The 15,649-nt window shown below is 49.5% G+C and overlaps 10 annotated features.

Moving 5' to 3' along the window:
- Positions 3,673–3,967: a silencer, noted in NCBI's record as "tiled region #3210; K562 Repressive non-DNase unmatched - State 5:Enh". NCBI's record gives its function as "represses a minimal TATA promoter and a strong SV40 promoter by Sharpr-MPRA in K562 cells {active_cell/tissue: K562}" and the evidence as "EXISTENCE:reporter gene assay evidence [ECO:0000049][PMID:27701403]".
- Positions 3,673–4,469: a biological region, named in NCBI's record as "CRISPRi-validated cis-regulatory element chr8.429". NCBI's record gives its function as "regulatory_interactions: CTSB".
- Positions 3,675–4,469: a transcriptional cis regulatory region, noted in NCBI's record as "candidate enhancer chr8.429 targeted for multiplex CRISPR interference". NCBI's record gives its function as "positively regulates CTSB gene expression with high confidence in K562 cells {active_cell/tissue: K562}" and the evidence as "EXISTENCE:mutant phenotype evidence [ECO:0000015][PMID:30612741]".
- Positions 5,566–6,081: an enhancer, noted in NCBI's record as "H3K4me1 hESC enhancer chr8:11735175-11735690 (GRCh37/hg19 assembly coordinates)". NCBI's record gives its function as "activates a minimal SCP1, AML or CMV promoter by ChIP-STARR-seq in primed H9 embryonic stem cells {active_cell/tissue: H9 hESC(primed)}" and the evidence as "EXISTENCE:reporter gene assay evidence [ECO:0000049][PMID:30033119]".
- Positions 5,649–6,024: a transcriptional cis regulatory region, noted in NCBI's record as "candidate enhancer chr8.428 targeted for multiplex CRISPR interference". NCBI's record gives its function as "positively regulates CTSB gene expression with high confidence in K562 cells {active_cell/tissue: K562}" and the evidence as "EXISTENCE:mutant phenotype evidence [ECO:0000015][PMID:30612741]".
- Positions 5,713–6,007: an enhancer, noted in NCBI's record as "tiled region #14431; HepG2 Activating non-DNase unmatched - State 8:EnhW, and K562 Activating DNase unmatched - State 5:Enh". NCBI's record gives its function as "activates a minimal TATA promoter and a strong SV40 promoter by Sharpr-MPRA in HepG2 and K562 cells {active_cell/tissue: HepG2 | K562}" and the evidence as "EXISTENCE:reporter gene assay evidence [ECO:0000049][PMID:27701403]".
- Positions 6,056–6,155: an enhancer, noted in NCBI's record as "active region_27039". NCBI's record gives its function as "activates an Ori minimal core promoter by ATAC-STARR-seq in GM12878 lymphoblastoid cells {active_cell/tissue: GM12878}" and the evidence as "EXISTENCE:reporter gene assay evidence [ECO:0000049][PMID:35858748]".
- Positions 6,056–6,599: a biological region, named in NCBI's record as "H3K4me1 hESC enhancer GRCh37_chr8:11734657-11735174".
- Positions 6,082–6,599: an enhancer, noted in NCBI's record as "H3K4me1 hESC enhancer chr8:11734657-11735174 (GRCh37/hg19 assembly coordinates)". NCBI's record gives its function as "activates a minimal SCP1, AML or CMV promoter by ChIP-STARR-seq in primed H9 embryonic stem cells {active_cell/tissue: H9 hESC(primed)}" and the evidence as "EXISTENCE:reporter gene assay evidence [ECO:0000049][PMID:30033119]".
- Positions 15,507–15,626: a silencer, noted in NCBI's record as "silent region_18945". NCBI's record gives its function as "represses an Ori minimal core promoter by ATAC-STARR-seq in GM12878 lymphoblastoid cells {active_cell/tissue: GM12878}" and the evidence as "EXISTENCE:reporter gene assay evidence [ECO:0000049][PMID:35858748]".

Below are 15,649 nucleotides of genomic sequence, written 5' to 3'. Positions count from 1 at the left end.
ATCCCCCCTATTTCTTCTCCTCCTCTGACTTGGTTGCAACACATTTCTGTGAATTCCAGAAAAAGCAAACAATTCCTCAGTACTCCTAGCCCAAGACAAGTACCAGAGTAGACCCTGCATCTAGACGATGCTGAGCAGGCTTTACATGTTTTTCTCCTCCTGACATCAGCTTTTCCCGTGAAACTCTGAAAAATACTGCAAGCACTCCCTGCAGAATCACCAACTCCCAAACCATGGAAACAGTCCAGAATTAGGAAGAGCCGCGGGAAGGAATGAGAGCTCTTGTAATAAGAGCAGCTAGACCGAGCGCAGTGGCTCACGCCTGAAATTGTAGCATTTTGGGAGGCCGAGGTGGGCCAATTGCTTGAGCTCAGGAGTTCGAGACCAGCCACAATGTGGCAAAACCTCATGTCTACTAAAAATACAAAAATTAGCTAGGAGTGGTGGTGCATGCCTGTGGTCCCAGCTACTCAGGAGACTGAGGCAGGAGAATTGCTTGAGCCCAGAAGGCTGAGGCTGCAGTGAGCCGTGATTGCACCACTGCACTCCAGCCTGGGCGACAATGAAACTCTGTCTTGAACAAATATATAGATAAAAAATGAACAGCTATAATGGTGAACTGTGTCCCCCAGTAATTCATACATTTAAGTCCTAAGCCCCAGTCCCTCAGAATGTGGTTATCTGGAGATAGGGTTTTTGAGGAGGTAAGCATATATATATATATATATATATATATAAATTTTTTTTTTTTCAAGAAACGGAGGCTGGCTAGGCATAGTGGCTCACACCTGTAATCCCAGCACTTTGGGAGGCTGAGGTGGGTGGATCACTTGAGGTCAGGAGTTCGAGATCGTCCTGGCCAACATGGTGAAACCCATCTCTACTAAAAATACAAAACTTAGCTGGGCTTTCTAGCACATGCCTGTAACGTCAGCTACTAGGGAGGCTGAGGCAGAAGAATTGTTTGAACCCAGGAGGCAGAGGTTCAGTGAGCCAAGATCGCGCCATTTCACTCCAGCCTGGGCAACAGAGTGAGACTCCGTCTCAAAAAAAAGAGAGGTTTGGAGACAGATACACACAGAGGAGAGACCATGTGAGCACATAGTGACAAGGCACCCATCTGCAAACCAAAGAGAGAGGCCTCAGAAGAAATGAAACCTTCTGACACCTTGATTTTGGACTTGCCAGCTTCCAGAACGGTAAGAAAATAAACACATAGTTTAAGCTGCCCAGTCTGTGGTATTCATTATAGTGGTCCAAGCAAAGTAATACACCTGTTGTATTTCATTTCACCCTCAGAGCTACACCGATTCTTTTTTTCTATCCTGCAGAAGAAATCAAGGCTCAGAGAAGTCAGCTAATTTGACTCAGCTCATAGTGAGTGTCAGAGCCAGGCTCTGCAATGAGGTTTGTATGGTCGCAAAACTGACATTCTTTTATTTTTTCTTTCTTTTTTTTTTTAGACTGAGTCTTGCTCTATTGCCCAGGCTAGAGTGCAGTGGCTCAATCTTGGCTCCCTGCAAACTCTGCCTCCTGGGTTCAAGTGATTCTCCTGCCTCAGCCTCCCCAGTAGCTGGGATTACAGGTGCCCTCCACCACGCCCGGCTAATTTTTGTATTTTTAGTGGATACAGCATTTCACCATGTTGGCCGGGCTGGTCTTGAACTCCTGACCTCAAGTCATCTGCCCGCCTCGGCCTCCCAAAATACTGAGATTTTAGGTATGAGTCACTGCATCCGGCCAAAATGCATATTCTTTTTACCATATCAAGTTGCCTAGTCAAATGAACATTTCACTAAAAATATTCTAGAATCTAACTGAAACTAGTTACTAGCTAGATCAGTCATTGGAGGACCTCCCAATGGGGCGATTTCTTGCTAATCCTACAAGTAGGCTGGGCAACACCAATTTAACGCCTTTGCCAGCTTCAGTCTCACCCACAGCAAAGTTACATGGGCCTGATGACCACTGGCATGAGGAGGAAAGTCCATCAAGTCCTCAATACATTTTTTTTTCTTTTTGAGACAGAATCTCACCCTTCTCCAGGCTGGAGTGCAGTGGCACAATCACAGCTCCCTTCAGCCTCGACCACCTGGGCTCAAGTAATCCTCCTACCTCAGCCTCCCCAGTAACTGGGACCACAAGCAAATGCCACGGGGCTAAATTTTTTTTTTTTTTTTTTTTTTTTTGGAGATGGAGTTTCGCTCTTGTCGCCCAGGCTGGAGTGCAATGGCACGATCTTGGCTCACTGCAACCTCCGCCTCCTGGGTTCAAGTGATTCTCCTGCCTCAGCCTCCTGAGTAGCTGGGATTACAGGCGCACACCACCATGCCTGGGTGATTTTTGTATTTTTAGTAGAGATGAGGTTTCACCGTGTTCGCCAGGCTGGTCTTGAACTCCTGACCTCAGGTGATCCACCCACCTCAGCCTCCCAAAGTGCTGGGATTACAGCGTGAGCCACCGTACCTGGCCAAATGTTTAATTTTATGTAGACACAGGGTCTTCCTATGTTGTCCTGGCTGATCTTGAACTCCTGGGCTCAAGTGATGCTCCTGTTTCAGCCTTTCAAAGTGCTGGGATTACAGGCATGAGCCACTGTGCCGGGTCAAGTCCTCAATACTTAAGTCCACCTTTAGCCATTCCTTGCATACTCTGAAGGTGGTGCTGACTGTTACACAAACTCCCATCTCAGTCCCTGTCCTCATGGGTGTCAGAGAGCGGGGTTCCTCGCAGAACAATAATAATTATGGTGCCAACTATTACCTGCAGCCTAACCCCTCCAATCCACTGAGCACAGTGCTAGGCACATGACATATGCTATGTCTAATCTTTTTTTTTTTTTTTTTTTTTGAGACTCAGTCTCGCTCTGTCACTGAGGCTGGAGTACAGTGGCATGATCTCAACTCACAGCAACCTCTGCCTCCCGGGTTCAAGCGAGTCTCCTGCTCAGCCTCCCAAGTAGCTGGGAGAAACGTGCCACCACATCCAGCTAATTTTTTGTATTTTTAGTAGAGACTGTTTCGCCTTGTTGGCAAGGCTGGTCTCAAACTCCTGACCTCAAGTGATCCACCTGTCTCAACCTCCCAAAGTGCTGAGATTACAGGAGTGAGCCACCGCACCTGGCCCCTGGCTGGTTTTTGTATTTTTAGTAGAGACTAGGTTTCACCATGTTGGCCAGACTGGTCCCAAACTCCTGACCTCAGGTGATCCACCCACCTCAGCCTCCCAAAGTGCTGGGATTACAGGTGTGAGCCACCACACCCGGCCTGTTGTGTTTAATCTTTCCCTCTGTTTTGTGAAGAATATACTATCCCCATGCTGCAGAGAATAAACCTGGGCCTGGGAAAAGCAGTGTGACTCACCCTGGGAGGCACCAACGGAGCAGCACAGAGCCTGGGTTCAAGCTCACCTGTGCTGGCCCCCAAAGCCTGTTCTCCCTCCTCCACCCCGCCCTGCCTCGCAGTGACAGAAACCAAAGGACACTAAGGCATCCCTGTGTGGCTCATTCGGGCTGCCCCAGAGACCCCTAAGAAGACCCTCAGGAGGTCCCTGAAGCCCCTTCAGAGGGGAAACCACTATAGGAGTCAGGGGAGCTCCAGGGTTGTCATCCACCTAATTAAAGCAAGTACCCAGCCAGTAATGGACCAAAGATGGTTCACAGAGAGCACATTCCTGCCAGCCCATCCCAGTGGCTCCTAGCACCCTGCTCAGCCCCACACCTTTGACCCACCCTCCAACAGGCAGCCATGGACCGGGGGAGTGGTGGGATCAACACTATGACCTTGGCATTTGTTATCTCTGGCCCAGGTAACAGCAGCATGAGGATGACCCTCATCATGTGAGTGTCTCTGTCATGTTTGTGGACATCTGGGTGTGTCTCAAGGACAGGCAGAGTGGGGCAGGGGACTGCAGGAGTTCCAGCTCGAATGAGCCACAGGCCCATGTTATCTCTCTGAGCCTAATCCTCCTCAACTCTCCATTAAGGGTGTGCCTGATCCTCTCTGAAGACCCTCAGGGCAAAATGATTTTGCATTCCATTCCCTGGATTTTAGTCCTAACCAATAGTGGCTATACCATGCTTCTAGATGAGAACCAGAGTTGGACTTTATAATTCACACATTTACCACATCCAGCTGATGTCTACTAGGTGCTGCTGTGGGCCTGATGTGGGAACAGCTACAGGAATCCCTTGGAGAAGCATAAGACAGCACTTGATAACCCGGGTTATCAGGCCCCCGAGGGTCTGCAGCTGGGAGATAAGCACACTGTGTCTGGTTGAGCTGACTGATTGACGTCTGTCTTCTCCAACCTAGACCCAAGTTCCATTCCAGGTGGGCTGACATTCAGTTCCCACTGCCTGCTGCAGTGCCTGGCACACAGGAGGCAAAATAATAGACCAACACTGCAAGCCTAGAGAAGGACTTTTATTTTATTTTATTTTATGTATTTATTTTTATTTTATTTTATTTTTTGGGACAGAGTCTCTCTCTGTCACCCAGGCTGGAGTGCAATGGCGCGATCTCAGCTCACTGCAACCTCTGCCTCCTTGGTCCAAGTGATTCTCCTGCCTCAGCCTTCCAAGTAGCTGGCACTAAAGGCACACACCACCACCCCCAGATAATTAAGAAGGACATTATTTTTACATGAATACAAACATGGATATCTCTGGAGTACAAGTCCAATTTCACATGCATTTTTAAGATGAAACTTTAGGGCAAATTGCCTAAGTGGGTACGTTTGTAGAACAAGGTTATTCGTCTGGGAGAGCTTATGGGACACCAGCACCAGACCAGGCCAACAGAGAAAAAGGGGCCCACCCCACGCCCATTATCTCCCTGCTGGGCGCCCCTTTGGCCAGCCCGTCTGCTTCCTATAGGCATATCGGGAACCATGGAAGCCACAAGAAGATGGGGTGTTCAGGCCCACATGACCCCACCAGCAGTACTGCCCTGACCCCCTCCGTTGAGCTAAGCAAGGTTGCAATTTCTTAAGAAGCTTTTCTAGAGAAGTGAAATTAAAAAGAGAGAGAACAGCTGGCCCCAGAACTCTAACCAGTGAAGGAACTATCTTTAGCGTAGAGAGACTTGGTTGGGGAAGATGACATCTTGTGGGACGAAAGTCAGCTCTGAGCCTGCAGATCATGAGGGAGGCTGTTCTTGGGGGAACAGGGAAGAAATGAGTTGTTTTGCCACTGAAAGGAATGGAGAGAAATCTGAGAATGAGGGCGAAAGGGAACCAAAAAGATGGGAAGTTCAGAGTGAAATGAAATCTAGCCTGGAAGGGTCACCAAAGAACGTTAACTGAAAGGCAATGCCTGTGTTCTGGATGCATTTCTACCAAGTAAATCTCTCCTCTATCTCTTGGTCACCCCCTCCTCATCCTCATTGCCTACCCCTAAGCCTCCAGAAAAGTCTAAACTCACTATGATTCCAGTGTACATAGAAATCAAGCAAGAGGCTGAATTTTATAGCCGGATCAAGCATGCCCAAGAGACAAACATGCAGAAAGAGTCCTCTTAGAGACAAGACATCAAAGCATGAATGAAAGACAACCACAGCCTCCTCCACCAGCACTTCCTTCTTTGCCTGGAGGCTTGCAAACATCTTAGGGACAGGTTTAAGCCATCAGAAACCATGAAAACGGAAGGTTTTTGTCCATTTTACCTAGATCTAAAAGGAGGAGAGGCCACAAATGGAAATCTAAAGCCCATCCGTGAAAAGAAAAAAGAATAAAAGGGATAAATGAACAGAGCACAATAGTTCTGTCTGAATTAACTCAGGACTGTCTGAGACACACAGACCCTGGTTCACTTCCTGCCCCGGTCTTGAGCTAATGCGCTGATTCATCATGAAGGCTTGGGCAAAGCTCAGTCTCCACCCTTGGCTCCAGATTTGCATCTGGCCCAGTAGTACCACAGCCACTCTGATGGCAGGCCCGGCCACGCTCCCACCCGGCCTCTGTATGCCAGCTCCCCCTCTGTTGGCAGGAGGCTCCATTCTCTGACAGGCTTACTCGCCTGCAACCCCTAACCCCAGTCAATCTTCCAGGAAGCTCCTGTTCCAGTTCCAGTTCTTCTTCTTCTTCTTTTTTTTTTTTTTTTGAGACGTTGTCTCACTCTGTCACTCAGGCTGGAGTGCAGTGGCGCAATCTCAGATCACTGCAACCTCTGCCTCCCGGGTTCAAGCGATTCTCCTGCCTCAGCCTCCCTGACTAGCTGAGATTCCAGGCACCTGCCACCGTGCCCAGCCTGATATTTTTGTATTTTTGGTGGAGACGGCGTTTCACCATGTTGGCCAGGCTGGTCTCGAACTCCTGACCTCAGGTGATCTGCCTGCCTTGGCCTCCCATGGGATTACAGGAGTGAGCCACCGCACCCGGCCCGGTTCCAGTTCTGAAGGACACTTCCAGTGGAAAGGCAGTCAACTTGAGCTCTCGTTAAGCCAGCTGACCTGAGACTGAAGATGTACCCTGCCCCTATGGAATGTTCAAGCCCTTCCCAGCTATTGTTGCAAAATTTCACCAGCTTCCCACATGTTCCCGGGTGACTAATCCACCACTTCCCCCCATACACACAAACAAGATGGCTAACAAAAGAAAAATGTCTTCTGTGTCTAGTCACAGACACATCTGCCAATTAAGTCCTCTTGCCCACACAGAGCCCTAAATAAATAAACAAGGGTCATATGCTCAGGCAGGTAAACATCTGGGAAAACAAATTATTTCATGCCTCAACATGGATTTCCAAACTCCAAAGACACCCTCAACCAAAGCAAAATTCACAAATAATAAAAACACTTCTTTAAAGATGAGGACATTTTTGAAAATGATTTCATGGCCATCTACAGCGAGCATGCCAATGATAATGAAATCCATAAAGCCCTTAGACCTTCTCCATGGATGATCTCCCTGGTATCTAAGTAAGTCAGAGCAGGTCAGGTGTGGTGGCCCACACCTGTAATCCCAGCACTTTGGGAGTCCGAGGCAGGAGGATTGCTCGAGCCCAGAAGATTGAGACCAGCCTGGACAACATGGCAAAAACCCATCTCTACAGAAAAATACAAAAATTAGCCAGGTGGCCAGGCATGGTGGCTCACACCTGTAATCCCAGCACTTTGAGAGGCTGAGGCTGGTGGACCTCATGAGGTCAGGAGTTCGAGACCAGCCTGGGCAACATGGGAAAACCACATCTCTACTAAAAATACAAAAAATTAGCCGGGTGTGGCCGTGCACACCTGTAATCCCAGCTACTCGGGAGGCTGAGGCAGGATAATCCTTTGAACCCGGGAAGCAGAGGCAGCAGTGAGCTGAGATCACGCCACTGCACTTCAGCCTGAGCAACAGAGCAAGACTTCATCTCAAAAAAAAAATAAAAAAAATTAGCTAGGTGTGGTGGCACACAATTATAGTCCTAGCTACTTGGGAGGCTGAGGTGAGAGGACTGCTTGAGCCCAGGAGGCTGGGTCTACAGTGAGCCATGATTGCACCACTGCACTCCAGCCTGGGTAACCTGGTGAGATCCTGTCTCAAAAAAAAAAAATTAATTAAATAAATAGGCTGGGTGTGGTGTCTCACACCTGTAATCCCAGCACTTTGGGAGGCTGAGGCTGGCAGATCACTTGCAGTCAGGAGTTCGAGACCAGCCTGGACAACATGGTGAATCCCCATCTCTACTAAAAATACAAAAATTAGCTAGGTGTGGTGGCATGCACCTGTAGTCCCAGCTACTCGGGAGGCTGAGGCAAAAGAATTGCTTGAAGCCAGGTGGTGGAGGTTGCAGTTAGCTGAGATCGCACCACTGCACTCCAGCCTGGGTGACAGAGCGAGACTCCATCTCAAAAAATAAACAAACAAATAAATAAGTCAGAGTAACAATGATGCATGGAAATGGGAGTGGTTTACTGTCCACCTTTACTCCACCTACAAAAGGAGTCTCATTCAGAAGCTTTTTCTGCTGGCCTGTGGTACTGAAATGTCTCTTCTGTTTGGGTTTTTTTTCTGAGACGGAGTTTTGCTTTTTCACCCAGGCTGGAGCGCAATCTCGGCTCACTGAAATCTCCGCCCCCGGGCTCAAGCAATTCTCCTGCCTCAGCTTCTCAAGTAGCTGCGATTACAGGCACCTGTCACCACACCTGGCTAATTTTTTTGTATTTTTAGTAGAGCGAGGGTTTCGCCATGTTGGCCAGACTGCTCTTGAACTCCTGACCTCAGGTGATCCACCCACCTTGGCCTCCCAAAGTGCTGCGATTATAGGCATTAGCCACCACACCTGGTCTGTCTCTTCCATTTGGACCACGGACTGGACCAAAAATGATTGAGAAATCCAATTGTTTCCTCTTCTTGTCCACAGAAACTGAACTGATAAGTTTGCCAGGTGGACATTCAGTGTCCACCGTTGACAGCACAGATCTATTTTTCACAGACAGCGAAGTCAAATTTACTACCTAGGATAAAACACTCCAAAATATTCCGTGAAACGCCAAGGTATAGGATCTGAAGTAGATGCCTCATTTTTCTGTGACTCAGATTTCTCCGCAAACTTCCCAGCAGCTTTGGGGTGGGCCCAGGGGGCCACACTGCACTCAAGGTGGTAACTGTGATCTCCGCAAAGAGACAGGAAAAGTGCTGGACTGAGTCAGGAGGCTGAGCTGTGTAAGTGCCATGTGACCTTGGCAAATCTCCCAGCCTCTCTTCGGTTTTCTCATCTGTGAAATGCCTACCCCACAGCTTGCTGAGAAGCTAAAAGTAGAAACAGTTATGAAGATGAGAATGCATTGTAAACTGCAAGGAGTTGTAGGAGCGCAGGTGGTTTGCAGGGCTGGGTGGTAGCTAAGGTGAACTGAGCTTGCTCTCACTGAGTACCAGGGGTACTAACTCCCTCATCTCACAACAGCCTTGTGACACCAGCCCATCGTCACAACCCTTCTGCAGATGAGGAAGGCCCCAGGGAGTTTAAGGAACTTCCCCCAAGGAACCATCGGGGAGGTGGTAGTACCAGGATCATACACCTGTGGCTCAGATAAGCTGGAGCCCACCAAACCGTATTTTTTTCCCTGGGAATGCAGCTTAACCACATTCCCCAACTCTGTGACATTCAAATAGTTGTCATCAATGGAGCACATATCCTGCTCGCAGGCTGGGACAGTTTTCAAGACAGGAGGGTTTTTCCCATTCTCTCCCTCCCCTGGAGCAGGGACCCTGGCATCCATGTGTAGGAGATGGTGGTGCATCCCAAAGCAGCCCGAGTCCCTCAGGAACCTCAGAGTGCAGCATCTCCCCCCTTACGAACCCTCACGGTCTTCAACCTGAATAAGAAATTAACCATTGTTGGGTGGGCTTGTTTATTATAGCAGCTTGCATTATTACCCTGATGAATACATCTCCAGTCCCCAAGAGTCCTTCTTAACAGGGACTACTGAACCCTCTTCTGACTACAGCTACAGGCAGCAAAGAGGTACTACCATTTAGGATGGCTTAACAGCGTAAAGGTAGAAATTTAGTATCAGCCAGGCAGCCAGACCAGAATTATATGTGAAACCAATGAAGATTCTTGGCTGCAGTATAAAAGAATGAATGAATGCTACCTCTAATTATAAATCAGGAAACAACACAGAGTTTTCTTTTTGTTTTTTGGAGACAAGGTCTCTGTTGCCCAGGCTGGAATGCAGTGGCACAGTCTTGGCTCACTGCAGCCTCCAGCTCTCAGGCTCAAGCGATCCTACCAAGTAGCTGGGACCACAGGCATGCACCATCATGCCCAGCTAATTTTTGTGCTTTTTGTAAAGACGGGCTTCACCATGTTGCCCAGGCTGGTCTCGAACTCCTGGGCTCCAGCGATCCTCCTGCCTCGGCCTCCTAAAAATGCTGGGATTACAGGCATGAGCCACCATGCTTGGCCAACACAAAGATTTTTAAATGAATATAGGAAGGATCACTTGCTATTGCACTTACGTTCAAGGAAATTTATTGTGATTACTAATACATATGGCACCAAACCTAGGTGGCTTATAGCAAAGTTTCCCTTTAACTTCCAGTTTGCAGTGCCTGTCACAGGCCAGGTTCTCAGCTAGCATTTGTGGAGGGATGACTGGCCTTGCCCCTCCTCGTTTTGTGCTCACTACCTTGTTGACATAAAAAATGTTCTCAAGATCAGGCGTGGTAGCTCATGCCTGTAATCCCCGCACTTTGGGAGGCCAAAGGCGGGAGAATTGCTTGAGGTTAGGAGTTTGAGACCAGCCTGGGCAATACAGCAAGATCCCATCTCTACAAAAAATAAATATTAGCTGGGCATGGTGGCATGCACCTGTAGCCCCAGCTAATTGGGAGGCGTAGGCAAGAGGATTGTTTGAGCATGAGAGGTTGAGGCTGCAGTGAGCTGTGATCAGGCCACTGCACTCCAGCTCCAGCCTGGGAAACACAGCGAGACTCTGTCTTAAAAAAAAAAAAAAAAAAGAAACAGAATGTTCTCACCCCGTTTTTCTCCAGAGTTTCCAAACAGCCTGCCTCTGAAGCAGCCCTCTTCTCAAGCATAGTATTATGGGCTGAATTAGGCCCCCAAAAGTTTGTATGTTGAAACCCTAACCCCTAGTACCTCAGAATGTGACTGTATTCAAGGTCTGGGTGTGGTGGCTCATGCCTGTAATCCCAGCATTTTGGGAGGGCAAGGCGGGCACACTGCTTGAGCCCAGGAATTTGAGTCCAACCTGGACAACATGGCAAGACCCAGTATCTGTAAAAATAAAATAAAAAACAACAGCCAGGCATGGTTGTATGCGTCTGTGATCCCAGGTAGTCCAGAGGCTGAGGTGGGAGGATTGCTTGAGCCCGGGAGGTGAAGGTTGCCGTGAGCCAAGATCCTGCCACTGCACTCCAGCCTGGGTGACAGAGCGAGACCCTGTCTCAAACTTTTTTTTTAATTAAATAAATGAAAAATAAAAATAAATAAAACTACAAGGGCAACTGAAACCCCAAGTGAGATAATACATTTGCTCTTCATGGAAGAGGACAAGTGAGTAAACCCTGCTCTTCTGTGGTGGGGAGGCCATAGTTAGAATTGAAGGGGCCCCACCAGAAACAGAAATGGTGGGAAGTGGTGGCCTCTGGAGGCAAAGCTTTGGGGGCTGTGGACATCTGCTGAGACCCTGGCTGCAGACATGGCTTCCCTTCCGAGGGAGTTCATGTGAAAGTCGAGGCCCCCACCGGTATTAGAGGAGCAGCCATCTCTTTTGCTCGCAGTTAAACAAGTGCTCTCGCAGTAGGATAAGCCACAAAGGAGACACTGTAGGAGAATAAAGAGGAATCCTTCTGGAAGCCAATAGAAAAAAAAAAAAAACAATGTGGTCAGCCCTCATAAGGCTAGAACCAGAAACTTAGTTCTCTGAAGCCAAGGCACTGTAATTTCCCTCCCTCTGATGACAGTCACACCACAGAAAGGGAGCTGTCGGGAGGAAGAAGAAGGAGCCCAGAGGCACGGCTCATACCTCCCTGCTGGAAGGAGGGGTAAAGGGCACGAAAGTCCTTTGAGAAGAGAGGAAGGAGAAATAGAAATGAATAAGACAGCACCCTACACCAACCAACTTAGAGTTTAGATAGGAATGGAGACATATTTCTGAAAATACTGGAAACAATCACAGCCAAATAAGAAATCCAGTTCATTTCAACACTGAATAGTTGGGCACTGTAGCGTATTCAAGGATAATTTTTAAAAATTAAAAAGTTAAATCAGGCTGGGCGAGGTGGCTCACACCTGTAATCCTAGCACTTTGAGAGGCGGAGACAGCAGGATCATTTGAGCTCAAGAGCTTGAGATCAGCCTGGGCAACATGGGAAAACACCGTCTCTACAAAAAATACAAAATTAGGCTGGGCCCTGTGGCTCACGCCTGTAATCCCAGCACTTTGGGGGGCCGAGGCAGGTGGATCACGAGGTCAGGAGTTCGAGACCAGCCTGGCCAACATGGTGAAACCCTGTCTCTACTAAAAATACAAAAATTAGGGGAGTGTGGTGGCGGGTGCCTGTAACCCCAGCTACTCAGGAGGCTGAGGCAGAATTGCTTGAACTCGGGAGGCGGAGGTTGCAGTGAGGCGATATCGCACCACTGCACTCCAGCCTGGGCGACAGAGCGAGACTCTGTCTCGGCAAAAAAAAAAAATTCATATTAGCCCCCAGAGAAACCCCACACCCTTTAGCTGTCACCTACCTAACCTCCCATGTGGATTTCACGGAATCATACAATACTGAGTCCTTTGGACCTGGCTGATTTTACTTAGTAAACGTTTTCAAGGTTTATCGATGTTGTAGCATGTGTGACTACTTCATTCCTTTTTACGACTGAATAAAACTCCATTTGGTGGATTTATGACAGTTTGTTTATTCGTGCAATGGTTTTTAATGGATGGACATTTGAGTTGTTTTCACCTTTTGGTTACTGTAAATAATGCTGCTATAAACATCTGGTGTAAGTTTATACATACGTTATTAACTTTTGTTTTAGAGTTGGGGTCTCACTATGTTCCCCAGGCTGGTCTTGAACTCCTAGGCTTAAGTAATCCACCCACCTCTGCCTCCCAAAGTGCTGGGATTACAGGCGTGAGCCCACTGTGCCCGGCGGATTTTTGTGAGGACGTATGTTTTCACCTCTTTCAGGTGTTAACTTAGGCCTCTTTTACGGATGTTCAACAAGCAAACAGCTTTTACACACGTGAGTCAAGGCCTCTCTGTAAGTTCTGAGAGCTGTTCCCCAGGCCCTGAACCCTGACCCCCAAATCTAGCAGGTTAAGCCAAAATTCTCCTCAACTTCAAGGCCTACTTCATTCATTATGCATCCACTCAACTCACATTTCTCTATCCTCTGCTATGGGCCAGACACCCTGCAATGAGCTGGGATGAAGCAGGGGAACACCGCAGGTAAAAATGCTTGCCTGGGTGGGGCTTAAGATCCAGTGAGGGCAGGAAGGAACATATACAAGTAAATATGCTGTATGTTCCTTTCTCCATGAAGCTTTCCTGGATGTTCCAGGAAGGGACGAATTCTACTCTGGTAGTAATATATTTCTTTTCTTGTCTTTTGAGGAGTCTTGCCCATGTTGGAGTGCAATGGCGTGATCTCGGCTCACTACAACCTCTGACTCCCTGGTTCAAGGGATCCTCCTGCCTCAGCGCTCGAGTAGCTGGGATTACAGGCCCGCAATGCCACACCCAGCTAATTTTTGTATTTTTAGTAGAGACGGGGTTTCACCATGTTGGCCAGGCTGGTCTTGAACTTCCAACGTCGTGATCCGCCTGCCTTGGCCTCCCAAAGTGCTGGGATTACAGGCGTGAGCCACTGCGCCTGGCCTATTTCTTTTTTTCTTTTCTTTTCTTTTGAGATGGAATCTTGCCCGGGTTGGAGTGCAATGGCGTGATTTTGGCTCACCGCAACCTCCACCTCCCGGGCTCAAGCGATTCTCCTGCCTCAGCCTCTCAAGTAGCTGGGATTACAGGCGCGTGAACCACCACGCCCAGCTAATTTTTGTATTTTTAGTAGAGACTGGGTTTCACCATTTGGGCCAGGCTGGTCTGGAACTCCCGACCTCAGGTGATCTGCCTGCCTCAGCCTCCCAAAGTGCTAGGATTACAGTGGTGAACCACCGCGCCTAGCCTGTTTCTTTTGTTTCAAAAGTGATTTTTACCTCTCAAAAGTGATTTCTATAATGACACTGATGGAAAATTCCATCAAATAGCCATAACGCATGTCAAGCACTCTGCTCTGCATACCTTCTGTCACACTCTAAGGATGAGAGAGGGGAGAGTTATCCTGGTTCTGGCTGTGTCCTCCCCATTTTGGCCATCTTATGAGCTCCTTATAGAGGTCTGAAATGATTTGGAGTCCAGAGTCCATGGCTGTCAGGATATGACTAGGGTGAGCAGGCAGTTGGGACCACCTTGACCTCCAGCCTCCTGGTCCTCAGTTCCTCGGGTATCCCACTCTGCTGGGGGCTTAGTGACCATGTTTGGGCTCCAGAGATTATTTTTTCCTTCCACTCCTATCCTTAGTTTGTTACTAACCAGGCGGGAGTACAGGCATGTCTCTGAAGACAGGCTCAGGGCTGTGTGACAGCTGACGACCAGGCTGCAGGGAACCAGGTCCCATGCAGTCCTACTGCCTTTTTTTTTTTTTTTTTTTTTTTTTTTGAGGCGGAGTCTCGCTTTTCGCCCAGGCTGGAGTGCAGTGGCACGATCTCAGCTCACGGGTTCACGCCATTCTCCTGCCTCCGCCTCCCGAGTAGCTGGGACTACAGGCGCCCGCCACCACGCCCGGCTAATTTTTTGTATTTTTACTAGAGACGGGGTTTCACCGTGTTAGCCAGGATAATCTTGATCTCCTGACCTCGTGATCCGCCCGCCTCGGCCTCCCAAAGTGCTGGGATTACAGGCGTGAGCCACTGCACCCGGCTACTGCCTTCTTACTGTCGCCACAGCCTGGATAAAATACGATTCTTCTGAGCCTTTTTTTTTTTTTTAATACAGAGTTTCACTCTTGTTGCCTAGGCTGGAGTGCAATAGTGCGATCTCTGGTCACCGCAACCTCCGCCTCCCGGGTTCAAGCGATTCTCCTGCTTCAGTCTCCCGAGTAGCTGGGATTACTGACACGCGCCACCACGCCCGGCTAGTTTTGTATTTTTAGTAGAGACGGGGTTTCTCCATGTTGGTCAGGATGGTCTCGAACTCCCGACCTCAGGTGACTCACCGGCCTCGGCCTCCCAAAATGCTGGGATTACAGGCGTGAGCCACCGAACCCAGCCCCTCTGAGCCTCTTGAATACAACTGGGGTCATGCCTGCTTTGCAGGTTTGTCTTAAGGATTAAAGCTGTTTGGGGAGTGTCTGGAGGAGGGTGAGTCTTGAGCCAACCCCTGCATCTCCCTTCCAGGGCCTCCCGGTAATAAACCCCAAGTAAATGTGCACTTTGTCCGTCCTCTCGGAGCAGGTCTCCGGGTACTCCTGTGCCAAACCGATTTCCGCCCCCAAGGTCCTTCTCCTCTTAGAAATCCTGACGCAGCTCCTAGGTTCCTTCGCAGTGACAGCCACTCTTTTCTATTTGTACGTAGCTGTAGTGTTTTGTGGGTACGTTCTCTGAACAACAAAGTGGCCCTTCTAAAGGCTGTTCTGTGGGGTCCACAGCCTCGCCACCCCCAGCCTCTGCAGCGGCTTCTGAATGAATGAAATAAGCGACGGCGCCCTCTCCACCACCCCACCCCCGCCAACTCGGCAGGCAGGGATCCCAGGCGCGGGTTCTGGCGGAGGCGGTCCCGCGAGGCGGGGGGACTTTTCTAGGCGGGGTGGGGGCCTTGGGACCACCTTTAGGGGCTTTTTCCCCATCCCCTGGCCCCAATTCGCAGCGTTTCGCCACCCAGGGCCCGCAGGGCTCCAAGCCCTTCTTCCCCAGCCCGCGCGCTCAGGCCCCCGCCCGCCCCCGGCGGTGGCCCCGGACCCCGAGCGGAAGGGGGCGGGGGGTGTGCGGGGCCGGGAAGCGGGGAGCGCGGGCGGCGGAAGGTGGCGGGAGGGGGTGGGGGCTGGGAAGCACCGTGCGCGGGCGGCGGGAGGGCCCGGGCGGGGCTGCGCGGTGGTCACGTGGGGCGGGGCCGGGAGGGTACTTAGGGCCGGGGCTGGCCC

The sequence above is a fragment of the Homo sapiens genome, chromosome 8, assembly GCF_000001405.40.
Source record: "Homo sapiens chromosome 8, GRCh38.p14 Primary Assembly".
Lineage (NCBI taxonomy): Eukaryota > Metazoa > Chordata > Mammalia > Primates > Hominidae > Homo > Homo sapiens.
This window is presented reverse-complemented; position numbering and strand designations above follow the sequence as displayed.